General features: G+C 58.3%; 1 protein-coding gene across 5 annotated transcripts in view, besides 2 other annotated features; it reads right to left on the bottom strand.

Moving 5' to 3' along the window:
* The window catches only part of PALM (paralemmin), a 39395-nt gene that overhangs the window by 3348 nt on the left and 19711 nt on the right, over nt 1-16336 (bottom strand). For 3 of the 5 annotated variants that reach the window (NM_002579.3, XM_005259565.5, XM_005259566.5), the window contains exons 5-8: nt 13737-13887; nt 10788-10809; nt 8904-8963; nt 4499-4630 (exon numbers count right to left, since the gene is read on the bottom strand). In NM_002579.3, coding sequence (NP_002570.2) covers nt 4499-4630; nt 8904-8963; nt 10788-10809; nt 13737-13887 — 365 coding nt within the window. The remainder of the gene's footprint in view (nt 1-4498; nt 4631-8903; nt 8964-10787; nt 10810-13736; nt 13888-16336) is intronic. The other 2 variants (NM_001040134.2, XM_017026850.3) reach the window with 1 other exon arrangement.
* Nucleotides 6910-6959: a silencer, noted in NCBI's record as "silent region_9621". NCBI's record gives its function as "represses an Ori minimal core promoter by ATAC-STARR-seq in GM12878 lymphoblastoid cells {active_cell/tissue: GM12878}" and the evidence as "EXISTENCE:reporter gene assay evidence [ECO:0000049][PMID:35858748]".
* Nucleotides 10628-10677: an enhancer, noted in NCBI's record as "active region_13571". NCBI's record gives its function as "activates an Ori minimal core promoter by ATAC-STARR-seq in GM12878 lymphoblastoid cells {active_cell/tissue: GM12878}" and the evidence as "EXISTENCE:reporter gene assay evidence [ECO:0000049][PMID:35858748]".

Raw genomic sequence — 16336 nt, 5'->3', positions numbered from 1 at the left:
TCTTGAACTCCAGACCTTAGGTGATCCACCCACTTTGGCCTCCCAAGGTGCTGGGATTACACACGTGAGCCACCGTGCCTGCTGCTTTTTTTTTTTGACTCCCTCTGTCGCCCAGGGTGGAGTGCAGTGGCGCAGTCTCAGCTCACTGCAACCTCCACTTCCTAGGTTCAAGCAATTCTCCTGCCTCAGCCTCCAGAGTAGCTGGGATTACAGGCACCCGCCACCATGCCCGGCTGATTTTTGTATTTTTAGTAGAGATGGGGTTTCACCACGTTGGCCAGGCTGGTCTTGAACTCCTGACCTCAGGTGAGCCACCCGCCTTGGCCTCCCAAAGTGCTGGGATTACAGGTGTGAGCCACCATGCCTGGCCATTACAGGGATTCTGATTTTTTCCATCTATGGGTGTATTTGATTGATCTTAAATTGAAATTTTCATTCATTCTAACTTGAGTTAAAGTTTCATTCATTTATTTTTGTTTTCTAGGAGCTTCCCTAAAGGCTATGCATTTTCCTCTGAGGTCTGCTTTGGCTGTGTCCTACGAGTTAGATGATGTTATTCACTTTCTATTTTTTTTTTTTTTTGAGATGGAGTCTCGCTCTGTCGCCCAGGCTGGAGTGCAGTGGTGCCATCTCGGCTCACTGCAAGCTCTGCTTCCCGGGTTCACGCCATTCTCCTGCCTCAGCCTCCTGACTAGCTGGGATTACAGGCGCCTGCCACCACACCTGGCTAATTTTTTGTATTTTTAGTAGAGATGGGGTTTCACCTTGTTAGCCAGGCTGGTCTCGATCTCCTGACCTCGTGATCCTCCTGCCTCAGCCTCCCAAAGTGCTGGGATTACAGGCGTGAGCCACCATGCCCGGCCAATGTTATTCATTTTCAAGTGTAAATAGTTTTTAATTCCTAGTTTGATTGATTGCCACAGGAAGCCACAATTTATTTAGAGGGTGTTTTTAAATTTCAGGGAGGAGAGGAACACAGAGCAGAAGATACAAACTCTGTTAACAGTCCTAAAACCTCCTTGGCAGCCTGGGCCACGGTGGTCACTTTCTGACAATGTTCTGTGTTTGAAAAGAATGTGTATTCTCCACTGGGTAGCATTTTATACATATAATCAATCTTGCTAAATGTGTTTCTCAAGTCTTTCCAAATTTCCTTATCTGTGTGTCTCTGACTTGACATTTCTTGAGGTGTGTTGGACTCTCCAAGGACCGGATTTCAGCACCCCACGGCTCCCTGCTATGATCTAACACCAGCCCTAGCTCACAGCCCTGCAAATTCCTTCTAGAAACACGGCTGCCTGGGCCACGCTGGGAGTTGGGAGGGACGCAAGGGGGGTCCCAGGGACTCGCCTCCTCTCGGCCAAGGGTCAGGGCTCCTGTTCCTGGCTACAGACCAGAAGGAAAGTGTTCTCCACTTTCAGTTTCTAAGCCCCCAGGGAGGGGAGTCCATGCTTCAAGGCATCTCAATGACTTTGGGCTGGAGGCCCAGAGGGTGGGGTGTGTCTGGATCAGGCGGAACTGAACTCAGTGTGTCCCACTGGCCGCTGCCCCAAGACAGGAATTGGAGCCCTCGGCTGCCATGGAAACGGATCACCTGCCCGTTGCTAAGCAACCAGTGTCCAGCCTGGCAGGTCTGGAATCCCCAGGGACCAGGTGAGGCTGAGGAGGGTGGAGTGATGGGGGTGAGGACCTCATCCGGAAGACGAGGCATGGGGACTTCCCAGGGCCACACAGCTGGGGAGAGCTAGAGCTGAGATGCCACCAACGCCACACCCCAAAGCCACTCCAGAGCTGGGCTGCGGGGACCCCTCTGACAGCATCTGGGGCACCGCAGAGGCCAAGCTGCCTCTGAGAACAGAAGGCTTTGGGAATCCAAACCACAGGGAGACCCCACGTCACGCCACCAGGACAGCCACGAGAATGGGCTACGAGCGCTGGTGAGGACGTGGAGAAACTGGGCCCTCATCCACGACCTGTGGGAACGGGACGGTGCAGCCTCCGTGGAAAACAGCAGGTCCTCACGGAGCTCCACACAGTCGCCTCAGGACCCAGCAGTTCACTCCTACGTGTACACCCAAAGGCCTCGAAAGCAGGGGCGTGAACAAATACTTGCACACAAATTCCCCAGCATGCTACTCACTGCAGCCAAAGGGTAGAAACAGCCCAACTGTCTACAGATGGAAGAAGGGATAAACCCACCATGGCCCACCCAACCCGTGGAATAGTATTCAGCCATGAAAAGGAGTCAGGCTCCGACCCAGGCCACAGTGCCGATGCACCTTGGGGACGTCACGCCCAGTGAGAGACGCCAGACACAGAAGGCCACGTGCAGTGTGTGACCCCATTTATTCTCTTTTCTTTCTTTTTTTTTTTTTTGAGACAGAGTTTCACTCTTGTCGCACAGGCTGGAGAGCAGTGGCGCGATCTCGGCTCACTGCAACCTCCGCCTCCTGGGTTCAAGTGATTCTCCTGCTTCAGCCTCCAAAGTATCTGGGATTACAGGCGTCCGCCACCACGTCCAGCTAATTTTTGTATTTTTAGCAGAGACGGGGGTTCTCCATGTTGGCCAGGCTGGTCTCGAACTCCTGACCTCAGGTGATCCACCCGCCTCGGCCTCCCAAAGTGCCGGGATTACAGGTGTGAGCCACCGCACCCGGCCGTGTGATCTCATTTCTATGAAATGTCCAGGACAGGCCAATCCAGAGAGACAGGAGGGGATGCGTGGGTGCCAGAGCTGGGGAGGGGATAGGGAGTGACGCTGACTGGGGAGGGGACAGGAAGTGACAGCTGATGGGGATGGGGCTTCTCTCCTCTTTCTTGTTTTTGAGACAGGGTCTTGGTCTGTGGCCCAGGCTGGAGTGCAGGGGTGCCATCATAGCTCATTGCAGCCTCAATGTCCCGGGCCCAGATGAGCCTCCCATTAAGGCGGAATTTTATGGTCTGCGAATTATATCTCATAAAAGAAAAAGAGGCCGGGTGCAGTGACTCATGCCTGTGGTCTCAGCATTTCGGGAGGCCGAGGCAGGAGGATCGCCTGAGCCCAGGAGCTGGAGGCTGCAGTGAGCTGTGATGGCATCGCTGCACTGCGGGCCGGGCGACAGAGTGAAACTCTTTCTTCAGAAAGTAAATAAATAAAAAGAAAAAGAAAGAGAGAGAGTGGGGCTTCAGTGTGGAGCTTCCCTCCTCCTCCTGGGGTCCCTGGCATCTCCCACAGCCTGTTTGCCTCTTGACCTCTAGGAGGAGCCCTTAAAACCAAATTAGACCTCAGCACCGTCAGGACCCAACGCACCCAAGGCTTCCCAAAGCCCTCAGGACACGGCCCCGCCTGTCCCCCTGCCTCCAGGCAAAGCACCCTTCTCCTCCCTGCGTGAGCCCAGCTCCTCAACTCCCTGACCAACCTGGTTCCCCCTCACCCCTGCAGCCCGTCTCCCCTCACCCCTGCAGCCCGTCTCCCCTCACCCCGTCTCCCCTCACCCCTGCAGCCCAGCTCCCCTCACCCCTGCAGCCCGTCTCCCCTCACCCCTGCAGCCCGTCTCCCCTCACCCCTGCAGCCCGTCTCCCCTCACCCCTGCAGCCCGTCTCCCCTCACTCCTGCAGCCCAACTCCCCTCAGCCCTCCAGCCCAGCTGACTCCATCCTACCTCAGGGCCTTTGCAGGGGCTGCGGCTCTGCCAGGTGTGGTTCCCATGCACTGCGTGTCTCTGATGAGCCCCTGCTTGCCTCCTCTGGGAAGCCTCCCCCGGCCCCATCCTCACCCTGTGAGACTTCTCACAGCCCCCTGGATGTGCATTTTCTGTGGCTTCTGTCACGCTAGCAATTCTTTATTATTATTTTTTATTCTTAAGAGACAGGGTCTCACTCTGTTGCCCAGGTTGGAGTGCAGTGGTGCGATCACGGCTCACTACAGCCTCAACCTCCTGGGCCCAAGTGATCCTCCCATCTCAGCCTCCCAAGTAGCTGGGACCACAGGCACGCACCACCATGCCAGGGTAATTTTTTTTTTTTTTTTTTTTTGGTAGAGACGGAGCCTTGCTATGCTGCCCAGGCTGGTCTCAAACTTCTGGGCTCAAGCGATCCTCCTCCCTCGGCCTCCCAAAGTGCTGGGACTAAAGGCGTGAGCCCTTGGGCTAGCAGTAATTATTTAAACGAATTATTTAGGAGCTCCAGATGGAAGGGCCCGGTTTGCCACCCGGCAAGGACAGAAGCTGAATCTACCTCCGGATTTCCCTCCAGAGCCCAGCTGGGTACCTGGTGCCCGGCTCAGCTTTCAGGCAGCTTTCTGGAGTGGATGAATGATTGGGCAGTGAGCCCAGGGCTGAACGACCTCTGAGCCCAGCTGTGGGCCACAGGGGGTGAGGCCCTGGCCTGAACAGCGTCATCTGCTTCACATCGAATCGGGGTCCTGATTCCGGGGCAGACGCCAGACCCACACGCTGGGAGCACACGTGTTCGGGGCTCTGGCCCAGGTGGAGGGAGGGCAGGGGCCGGGGTGCTCGTACCTTTGGTCTCGTCCTCGTAGACTTTGATGCCCAGAGGGAGCGGCTGCCGAGGGAGCAGCGTGGTGCTGGACAGCACCCTGGTCTCCCCTGTCACCTTGTCCTTCTCCACAGTGATCTCAACCGAGTACATGGCTGGCACGAGAGTCACGGGGTTACACCACGGCCTGCCCGCCCCCGCACCCCCCCGCCGGGCTGCGGCCAAGCCAGGGAGGGGGGAGCCAGCAGCGCAGAGCCAAGCAGCGATGGGGCAGGCGGAGCCGGGGATGCCTGGGCACCTTCTCGACGCGGCCCTCCCCAACTCTACATCCCTCCATAGCTCCCCAGTGCCTGGAGACGACCAGTCTGAACACCTCTCCTTGGCATTTGAGGCCCATCCTGCTGTCCGCCCAGATGGTCCTCGTCCCTGTACTCTGCACTGTGTCCTCTGTTTCGCCACCAAACTATTGTCTGTCAAGCTCAGGTTCCAGCCCAGCCCATCTGGAAAGCCTTCATTGTTCCCGGATCTTTTTAATTTTTTTGAGATGGAGCCGCCTTGCTCTGTCGCCCCGGCTGGAGCACAGTGGTGTGATCTGGACTCACCTCCCGGTTCTAGCGATTCTCCTGCCTCAGCCTTCCACGTAGCTGGGACTACAGGCGCCCGCCACCACGCCCAGCTAATTTTTGTATTTTTAGTAGAGACGGGGTTTCTCTATGTTGGTCAGGCTGGTCTCAAACTCCTGACCTCAGGTGATCCACCTGCCTTGGCCTCCCAAAGTGCTGGGATTACAGGCGTGAGCCACCGCGCCCAGCCTATTATTTAAATAGATACAGGGTCTCCCTCTGTTGGCCAGGCTGGAGTGGAGCGGCACGATCACAGCTCACTGCAGTCATGACCTTCCTGGCTCACCCCATTCTCCCACCTCAGCCTCCCAAGTAGCTGGGACCACAGGTGTGCGCCACCACACCCGGCTAATTTATTTATCTTTTTTGGAAATGGGGGTCTCACTATGTTGCCCAGGCTGGTCTCAAACTCCTGGGCTCAAGCAATCCTCCCACCTCAGCCTCCCAAAGCCCTGGGATTATAAACGTGAGCCCTCGAGCCCCACCATTCCTGGTTTCTCAGAGGAGCAGGTGAATCCCAGAGAGATCCTGCCTTGCCCGGGGTCACGGCGGAGACTGGGGCTCAGTCTGCAGACCCACAGCCCCCGCCCCGACCATCCAAGCTCCCAGGACTTGACGCCTCCTTCCAGCCAACGGTTGGACACGCCGTCATCTATTTAGACTCAGAATGAAGGAACCCTCCTGAGATAGTCGAACTTGCTACTCATCAGGGCCCTAACTCCACAGCCAGCACCTCGCCCCACTCTGTAAAAATCATTCCTGCAGAAACCACACAGAGCCTGCATCCTAACAGCGACTGGTGGCTGCCCGCCACCCCCAGGCCTGCTTGAAGATGACGAGCACTGGGGATCACCAGGCACCTCCCTGAGACCCCGCCCCGCAGCGGGAGCTGAACAGGGCTGCCAGGACTGGCCTGACCCATGACACTGCACCCCAGGTGCGGCCCAGCCTCAGGGCCTTTGCACAGGCTGTTCCCAATGCCTGGCACACCCCCCAGATAGCTGCATGTCCTCACCACTTCTGAGGGGCCATCGGTCCCCATCGTGGGCAGCCCTGCCATCGCCTGGCCCCTCGGCCCCCATAGCCACCTCGTTTCCCTCCTCCCACCCAACCTCGACGCTTAGGCCCGGCTGCGGCCCTGGACTCTGCTCTGCGCCGGGGACCTCGCCCAGGCACTCGGCTCTAATCTCCCGCACACCCATCCCCACCTGGACCTTGACCTGGACTCAGCCCCTATCCACAGGGGCCCCACTCTCACACGTCCATAACACTACTCCCAATCTGCCCCCTACACCTGCCCCCACCCTGGCTCTTCCCACCCGTTGGGGGCAGCTCAGTCCTCCCTCTTTTTTTTTTTGAGACAAAGTTTTGCTCTTGTTGCCCAGGCTGGAGTGCAGTGGCGTGATCTCAGATCACTGCAATCTCTGCCTCCCAGGTTCAACCGATTCTCCTGCCTAAGGCTCCCGAGCAGCTGGGATTACAGGCACCTGCCACCATGCCCAGCTAATTTTTTGTATTTTTACTAGAGACAGGGTTTCACCGTGTTAGCCAAGATGGTCTCGATCTCCTGACCTCATGATCTGCCCCCCTCGGCCTCCCAAAGTGCTGGGATTACAGGGGTGAGCCACCACGCCTGGCTAATTTTTCTATTTTTTAGTAGAGACGGGGTTTCACCATGTTGCTCAGGCTGGTCTTGAACTCCTGACCTCAAATGATCTGCCCGCCTTGGCCTCCAAAGGTGCTGGGATTACAGGCGTGAGCCACCGTGCCTGGCCAGTCCTCCCTGACACCTCGTTTCTCCTCAAACCCTGGGGGCTCCACCTTCAGAACATAAGGAACCGCCCACTGCTCGCCCCTCCACGGCCCATCCCAGCCTCCTCCCCCAGCAGCCCTGTCCCCTCCACCTGGCACCGTCCACGGTCTGTTCTCCCTGCAGTCACCAGAGGGCGTGGGTGAGCACGGAGTCGGGGCAGTCCCGGCTTTGCCTGCAGCCCCCCATGGTTCCTGCCTCCCTCCCGGGAAAAGCCCACGTCCCCTCCCGCCCCTGCCACAGGGCCCTCAACAATCTCTCCATCATCTCTCCTCCGCCCTCTCCCCCTCCTCACGCTGCTCCAGCCACACGGATCTCCTGGCCGTTCCTCCAACACCCCAGGCGCAGTCCTGCCCCGGGGCCTTTGCACTGGCCGTGCCCTCTGCCTGGAACACCTTTCCCCAGATAGCTGCGTGCCTTGGACACCTTCCTCCAGATAGCTGCGTGCCTTGCTCCCTCAGCACCTCTGGGTCTTTGCTCAGACGTCACCTCTTACGTTGAACGCTCCCCTCCCCTGAGCCCTCTGGTTCAAATTCTCCTTCCTCCAGCTCAACGTCCTTGGCCTCACTTTTCTACCGTAGTAGAGGTTGTGGCCCTCATTAGAATACCCTCTCCCCCAATGCCTGGCATGCAGCAGGCGCTTGAAAGGCATTCTGGGTGAAGGGACGACTGTTTTTCAACTCTATAGCTCTGCACAGCCTCAGCCCTCCACCCCAGACAGCTAGTCCAGAGCTGCCCACACTGTTGAGCAGGTTGTGCACTGCACAAAGTCAGTGGCCACGGGGATCAGCGGGGGACCTGGGCCTCGGTGTCTGCCAGGGCTGGTCTCACTGGCACAGAGGCCCACAGGCACCACCTGCTCTGACAAATGCCTCTGTCTGCTGCATCCTGGGGCAACCCCCACCCTGGACCGTGCTGGAGACCTGGGCCTCCGGGTGGCTCTCCTTCCTTCCAGCCCTGTCCCGTCCTGGGCAGCCACCCCAGAGTCCTTCTTCACCTCCCTGCCTTGCTGCCTTTTCTGAGACGGAGTCTTGCTCTTGTCGCCCAGGCTGGAGTGCAGTGGCACGACCTTGGCTCACTACAAACTCCGCCTCCCAGGTTCAAGCGATTCTCCTGCCTCAGCGTCCCGAGTAGCTGGGATTACAGGCGTGCACCACCATGCCCGGCTAATTTTTGTATTTTAGTAGAGATGGGGTTTCGCCATGTTGGCCAGGCTGGTTTCGAACTCCTGACCTCAGGCGATCTGCCCGCCTCGGCCTCCCAAAGTGCTGGGGTGGGTTACAGGTGTGAGCCACCACGCCCGGCCCTCTGCCTTCTTTCTGTGCTGTTCCAGCTCACTCACATAGCAGTGGTTTTGCCCACTGCGACGATTTCTCATTATTGGGCTCCTGTCCTGTGCCGGGCCCCAGGATGGCGTACTGAGGTCCCACCCCTCTGGCAGGCGGAGAAATTCAAGGCGGCAGACCAGGGGTTCGAGCCTGACTTGAGCACCGTGTGGCACTCAGCGTCAACCCCCACCTTCCCCTGCTTCTCGGAAGCGCAGCGGTGCTGGGGACCTGGCTTGGTTGCCTCCAGGGACGGGGCACCCACTTTCTCCCGGGGCAGCCAGTCCTACTGCCCGAGGACTGGAGCAGGTAAGATTTGCAGCGAGCATGTTCAGGCGTGAGCGCCACCCCCAGCGGGCCCCAGGAGGGAGCCGTGAGATTAGGGTGGAATGAAAGCCGTGAGGTCGCGTCGGTTAGAGCCGCCATGCGTGGGGCCCGTCTTCTCGGGGAAGCGTGGGCCGGCGTGGGACCAGGGCAACAAAGCAGAGGGGGCCCCCACCCCAGGCTCGGAGCCTCGGCCTCGGTCCAGCTGCCACCCCCATAACCACGGCCCCGTCAGACGCTGCGGAGAGCAGGTCGGTGTCGCCCCCGCCCCACCCGGCCCCCCGGACCGAGACTTGGTCCCTGACAGCGGCTGGATCTGGGGCCCAGAGCCTGGGGGCCAACCCACCTGCCTTCATCATGGGGGAGCCGTCAACCGTCCTCAGGGGCGTGTTGGAGACTCGCTTGTCTGCACGGGAGGTGGAAGCGGAGAGAGAGATGAGGGTCAGAGGAGAGGTCACATGGACCCCCCAGACAGCCCAACGCCCCTTCACAGAAGTGCATCCGGACTCCCACATGCACCTGGGCCTTTGACACCCAGACCCCACCCAGACACAGGAACCTGGGCCCCCAGACACCCAGACAGGCACCTGGGCCCTCAGACACACAGATCCCACCCAGACACCCGGACACAGGCACCTGGGCCCCCAGACACCCAGACAGGCACCTGGGCCCTCAGACACACGGATCCCACCCAGACACCCAGACACAGGAACCTGGGCCCCCAGACACCCAGACAGGCACCTGGGCCCTCAGACACACGGATCCCACCCAGACACCCGGACACAGGCACCTGGGCCCCCAGACACCCAGACAGGCACCTGGGCCCTCAGACACACGGATCCCACCCAGACACCCAGACACAGGAACCTGGGCCCCCAGACACCCAGACAGGCACCTGGGCCCTCAGACACACAGATCCCACCCAGACACCCGGACACAGGCACCTGGGCCCCCAGACATCCAGACAGGCACCTGGGCCCTCAGACACACGGATCCCATCCAGACACCCGGACACAGGAACCTGGGCCCCCAGACATCCAGACAGGCACCTGGGCCCTCAGACACACAGATCCCACCCAGACACCCGGACACAGGCACCTGTGGGCCCCCAGACATCCAGACAAGCACCTGGGCCCCCAGACACACAGACCCCACCGAGACACCCAAACACAGGCACCTGGGCCCCCAGACACACAGACCCCACCCAGACACCAGGACACAGGCACCTGGGCCCCCAGACACACAGACCCCACCCAGACACCAGGACACAGGCACCTGGGCCCCCAGACACAGGCCCCGCACAGACACAGGCACCTGGACCCCCACCGCAACCCCTAGAAAATCCCACAGGCAGCCTCACAGTTCATTCCTCATCCTCAGCCCAGTGATTTTCACAAAATCCCTGAGAGGCCTGTCTGGATTTTTTTAATGATTAATTTTTAATTCTACAGTAAGACAAGAAGACACTCTCCTTATGAATAATTAACACACAACAAACCAGGCCAGAAGCACTTCAGACGCCAGCGTCAATCCCGGCTGGTGGCTGTCCCGCTATCGATACAGAAGCGGACACGTTCCGTGAAATGCAGTTTACAGACAGGGTCTCGCTCTGTCGCCCAGGCTGGGGTGCAGTGGTGCGATCACAGCTCAACCTCCTGGGCTCAAGTGATCCTCCCACCTCAGCCTCCCGAGCAGCTGGGACTACAGGCGTGCAGCACACACGGCTAATTTTTGTATTTTTAGTAGAGACGGGGTTTCACTATGTTGGCCAGGCTGGTCTTGAACTCCTGACCTCAAGGGATCCACCTGTCTCAGCCTCCCAGAGCGCTGGGGTTACAGGTCTGAGCCACTGGGCCTGGCCGGCGGCTAATTTTTTTATGTTTGGCAGAGACAGGGTCTCCCTGTGTTGCCCAGCATGCTCTTGAACTCCTGGGCTCAAGCGATCGATCCTCCTGCCTCAGCCTCCCAAAGTGCTGGGATTACAGGCATGAGCCACCACACCCGGCTAATTGTCTTTGCATTTTTTCAGTAGACACTGAGTTTCGCCATGTTGGTCAGGCTGGTCTCGAACTCCTGACCTCAGGAGATCTACCCGCCTCGGCCTCCCAAAGTGCTGGGATCACAGGCGTGAGGCACCGAGCAACTTTGTAGCTTCACTCCCCGCCCTGCCATCCCCTCTCTGGCCACCAGAGTGCGCCGAGGCCCCACGAGTTCCTTCCAGAGGTCCTACCTTTGGGCGTGCCCACCGGCGTCTGCAAGAAAGAAGAGAGAAGGGTCAGGGGCGTCAGCATCCCCGGGAAGAGGAAGGGGAGCCATGGGGTCAGGAGCCTGGGGAGGGCATGGCACAGTGGGTGACGTCATACGCACCCGCTTCTCATCCTATCCTCTTGGGACTCTGGCCAGAAACACAGAGGTCATCTTTCTTTTTTCTTTTTATTGAGATGGAGTTTCGCTCTTGTCGCCCAGGCCGGAGTGCAATGGGGCAATCTTGGCTCACTGCAACTTCCGCCTCCTGGGTTCAAGCGATTCTCGTGCCTCAGCCTCCCCAGTAGCTGGGGTTACAGGCCTGCGTCATCGCACCTGGCTAATTTTGTATTTTTAGTAGAGACGGGGTTTCTCCATGTTGGCCAGGCTGGTTTCGATCCCCTGACCTCAGGTGATCCACCCACCTCGGCCTCCCAAAGTGCCGGGATTACAGGCTGAGCCACCACGTCCGCTCCATCTCATTTCTTCCCTCCCTCCCCACATACCCCCGCATCAGCGGCTCCCGCAGGCCACCCTGAATCCAGCCGGCTCCTCCGTGCCCCCTCCAGTCTCGTCCACTCCTGCTCTCAAGCGATCCTCCTCCCTTGGCCTCCTGGGAGCCACTGTGCGAGGCTCAGGGTCTAGTGTCGCCTGTCTGAACCCGTTCTGCCCTGCATGGTCAGACCCTGCACACAGGCCCCTCTCCCTGAACTGTGCCCTGGCATCCCTGGTCTTCTTGCTGTTTCTGGGACACACTCCTGTCTCAGGGCTGTGGTGTCTGATGCTCCCTCAGTGCACTCTTCCCTCATCACGTCACTGGGTGTGCCCGTCAGGAAGGCAGGGGCCGTGCATGTGTATTGCTGAGTCTCCCATGACAGCACTAGTCCATGCTCAAACAACCTTCAGGGAAAAGCACCTGGAGAACTCCTATTCAACCTTCAAAACCCACTTCCTTGGCTGGGCACGGTGGCTCATGCCTCTAATCCCAGCACTTTGGGAGGCCGAGGCGGGCGGATCACCTGAGGTCAGGAGTTCGAGACCAGCCTGACCAACATGGCCAAACCCTGTCTCTACTAAAAATACAAAATTAGCTGGGCGTGGTGGCGGGCGCCTGCAATCCCAGATACTTAGGAGGCTAAGGCAGGAGAATCACTTGAACCCAGGAGGTAGAGGTTGCTGAAATCGTGCCATTGCACTCCAGCCTGGGTAACAAGAGTGAAACTCTGTCTCAAAAAAAAAAACACAAAAAAACCACCCCACGTCCTCCAGGTCGCCTGCCCAGCCCTCCCACGAAACCCACATCCTCCAGGTCGCCTGCCCAGCCCTCCCACGAATGAGGCACTTCCTTGGGGATTCCACAGCGCCCTGGGCTTCCCACCTCTTCGGCCTGACCACCCTCCCTGGGTGGTCCCCAATACACGCCATCTTCCCACCTGACGTGAGCTCAGTGAGGTCCAGGACTGTGCCCAGAACCAGGTTTTTTTTTTTAGAAAGAATCTTGCTCTGTCTCCCAGGCTGGAGTGTAGTGGCGTGATCTCAGCTCACTGCAACCTCTGCCCCCTGGGTACAAGTGATTCTCAGCCTCAGCCTCCCGAGCAGCTGAGATTACAGGTGCCGGCCACGACATCTGGTTAATTTTTGTATTTTTAGTAGATATGGGGTTTTATCATGTTGGTCAGGCTGGTCTTGAACTCCTGACCTCAAATGATGTGCCTGCCTCGGCCTCCCAAAGTGCTGCGATTACAGGCGTGAGCCACTAAGCCCGGCCAAGGGTCTGGTTTTAACATCGTCTGGCTTAGATGGCAGATGCCAGAATTAACAGCCGACTCCACTAAGGACCACTCAGCTGTGTGGCCTTGAGCCAGCCTCTCTGCCTCTGTGGGCTGCGATTTTTACTTCCATCACACGGGGATACTGTTCCCACAGGAAGGGCTTTCAGGAGCCTTGGCCACATGAAACAGATGCAGGTGATCGATAGAAACCATGAAAACCCCAGCCTGGACAGCAGAGACCCCGTTTCTACCAAAAATACAGAAATTAGCCGGGCGTGGTGGTGCGTGCCTGTGGTCCCAGCTACTCGGGAGGCGGAGGCAGGAGGATCGCTGGAGCTGGGGAAGTCGAGGCTGCAGTGAGCTGTGATTGTGCCACTGCACTCTGGCTGGCCTGGGTGACAGAGTGAGACCCTGTGTCAAAAACAAACACAGAAACAAAATAACCAGGCCAAGTAAGGTGACTCATGCGTGTAATCCCAGCAATTTGGGAGGCCGAGGTTGGGTGGATCACCTGAGGTCAGGAGTTTGGGACCAGCCTGGCCAACATGGGGAAACCTCATCTCTACTAAAAATACAAAAAAATTAGCCGGGTATGGTGGCAGGCGCCTGTAGTCCCAGCTACTTGGGAGGCTGAGGCAGGAGAATTGCTTGAACCTGGGAGGTGGAGGTTGCAGACTGTACCACTACACTCCAGCCTGGGCAACAGAACGAGTCTCAAAAAACAACAAAAGCAAAAAAACACTATGACCACACCCACCAGCACCGGGTCTCCTGCTGCTCCCTGAGCCCTTCTGACGCCCCCAGGCGGGTCTCCTGCTTCCCTGAGCCCTTCTGATGCCCCCAGGTGGGTCTCCTGCTTCCCTGAGCCCTTCTGATGCCCCCAGGTGGGTCTCCTGCTTCCCTGAGTCCTTCTGATGCCCCCAGCGGTGGCTGCTCTGATTACTCCCCCATCTTACAGATGGGGAAACCGAGGCCCAGCAAGGCGAAACCACGTGTCCCGGCTCACACAGCTGGGAAGTGGCTCCGGTGAGCTGGAAATCAAGTGCCTGGCTCTAGTCTGTGCCTGTCCCCTCAGCTACGCTGACATGGAAGGGCTGGGGCCTCGCTCTGGGGCCAGCGGGAGTGGGTGCCTGGGGATCCGCTCCCCCCAGTCACCCCCTTACCTGCTGTGAATTCATCACCACCTCTGTCTTGCGCTCCTCCTTGGCTGGACTCGGGGCTGGGGCCCGGACTGGGCTCGGGGCCGCCGCGTTCTCCTTGGCAGTGGCTGGGGCGGAGTCTCCACGCTCCAGCACCTCAATTTCCTTCTCCAACCTGGGGAGAGGGTGTGCCTGTGAGGGTGACTCCTGCATCCCCGGTGGGGCTCTGGGCACCTTCTGTACGACAGCTCCCCAGTGTCTTTTTTTTGAGACAGATTCTCGCTCTTGTTGCCCAGGCTGGAGTGCAATGGCGTGATCTTGGCTCGCTGCAACCTCCACCTCCCGGGTTCAAGTGATCCTCCTGCCTCAGGGTCTCGAGTAGCTGGGATTACAGGCGTGCACCACCACACCCAGCTAATTTTTTGTATTTTTAGCAGAGACAGGGTTTCACCATGTTGGCCAGGCTGGTCTTGAACTCCCGACCTCAGGTGATCTGCCCGCCTCATCCTCCCAAAGTGCTGGGATTCCAGGCGTGACCCACCGCACTCGGCCTAGCTCTCTGAATTTAAGGCTCCCAGGCAGCCCCAAGAGGCATCGTGCTCTTTCATGATGGGGGAAACTGAGGCACGGAGTGCAAAAGCCACATGGCCAGCAGGTAGCAGAGGCGGGATCCAAACCAGGGCTGACTCCCTGTGTCCCCTGACCCCTGGCCTGCGCTGTTTATGTCACTGTCTGTATCAAATGAACTCTCCTTTCCCGCTCAAATTTGCACATTTTAACAGGAAACTTTATCTCACCAGGGAAACTGGAAAAACCATGTCACTTTCCAAGTATTAGAAGAGATAACGGGACAAGCAGATCCAGGAAAACAAAACCGGGATATGAAATCCCAGCCCCGGGGTCTGGCAAGGGCGGGCGACATTCACGGCAGCTCAGCCTCAGCCTGAGGACAGGACAGACGAGGGCTGAGTGCGTAAGTCTAACAAGGTGGGCCCAGGCTGACAGGTTGGACACAGAGCCAGACTTGTGTCCCCTCCAACCAGAAGAGGGGTCCAGCCCACAGCCGCCTGGAGGGCTTCCTGCAGGAGGTGTCTGGGAGCCCACAGTCAGCCTGGAGGGCTTCCTGCAGGAGGTGCCTGGGCAGAGCCCCTGAGCAGGCAGAAGGTGGGTAGTGGAGACCCAGAGCAGCTCAGTTTCAGCACCTGAGAAGCAGGCTGCCCTGGGGAGGGGTGAAGCTGAAGCCTCTGAAAGCAAACTAGGCCTCAAGCCAGGTCTTCACCCTCCATCGAGGGGCCTGAGCCTGTGCCCACTAGGGCCGCGTGAAAAGAACACCAGTGTGCCCAGCCCCCACGGCCAGTAACTCCCACTGCCTTCGCCCAGGTGTCTGACCATCCACCTCTCTGCAGACAGGGCCAGGCCCGTCTCAGCCCCACCTCGGTCTGAACATCCCGTCCAGCCCAGGGACACAGCTGGTGCTTAATGTTTGCTGGAATTAAGATGCACAGTGGGGCCAGGCGCAGTGGCTCACACCTGTAATCCCAGCACTTTGGAAGGCAGAGGCGGGCGGATCAGCTGAGGTTGGGAGTTCGAGACCAGCCTAACCAACATGGTGAAACCCCGTCTCTACTAAAAATGCAAAATTAGCCAGGCGTGGCGGGCACCTGTAATCCCAGCTACTCAGAAGGCTGAGGCAGGAGAATGGCGTGAACCCGGGAGGCGGAGCTTGCAGTGAGCTGAGATCGCGCCACCGCACTCCAGCCTGGGCGACAGAGCGAGACTCCTTCTCAAAAAAAAAAAAAAAAAAAAAAAAAGACGCACCGTGGGATTTTTGCCTCCCTGGTTCACAGGTGAGGAAACTGAGGCCCAGGGAGTGGGTAACACTCGGCTCATTCCAAGGCCCCAAACCCACCAGAACTGCCCCACCCTGTCCATACCTTCCTTTTTTAGACAGATTCTCGCTCTGTCCCCCAGGCTGGAGTGCAGTGGCTTGATCTCGGCTCACTGAAACCTCCGCCTCCTGGGTTCAAGCAATTCTCCTGCCTCAGCCTCCCCAGTAGCTGGGATTACAGGCGCCCGCCACTAATCCACCTAATTTTTGCATTTTTAGTAGAGACTGGGTTTCGCCATCTTGGCCAGGCTGGTCTCAAATCTCTGACCTCAGGTGATCCTCCTGCCTCGGCCTCCCAAAGTGCTGGCATTACAGGTGTGAGCCCCACCCACGCCCAGCATGTCCATGCCTTTATTTTTATTTATTTATTTATTTTTTGAGACCCAGTCTCACTCTGTTGCCCAGGCCAGAGTGCAGCGGTGAGATCTTGGCTCACTGCAAGCTCCGCCTCCCGGGTTCACGCCATTCTCCTGCCTCAGTCTCATGAGTAGCTGGGACTACAGGTGCCCGCCACCACGCCTGGCTAATTTTTTTGTATTTTTAGTAGAGACGGGGTTTCACTGTGTTAGCCAGGATGGTCTCGATCTCCTGACCTCGTGATTCACCCACCTCGGTCTCCCAAAGTGCCAGGATTACAGGCTTGAGCCACCGCGCCTGGCCTTCTTCTGCCTCAGCCTCCGGAGTAGCTGGGATTACAGGCTGGGCACCACCACACCAGGCTAATTTTTGTATTTTT

The sequence above is a fragment of the Homo sapiens genome, chromosome 19, assembly GCF_000001405.40.
Source record: "Homo sapiens chromosome 19, GRCh38.p14 Primary Assembly".
Classification (NCBI taxonomy): Eukaryota; Metazoa; Chordata; class Mammalia; order Primates; family Hominidae; genus Homo; species Homo sapiens.
This window is presented reverse-complemented; position numbering and strand designations above follow the sequence as displayed.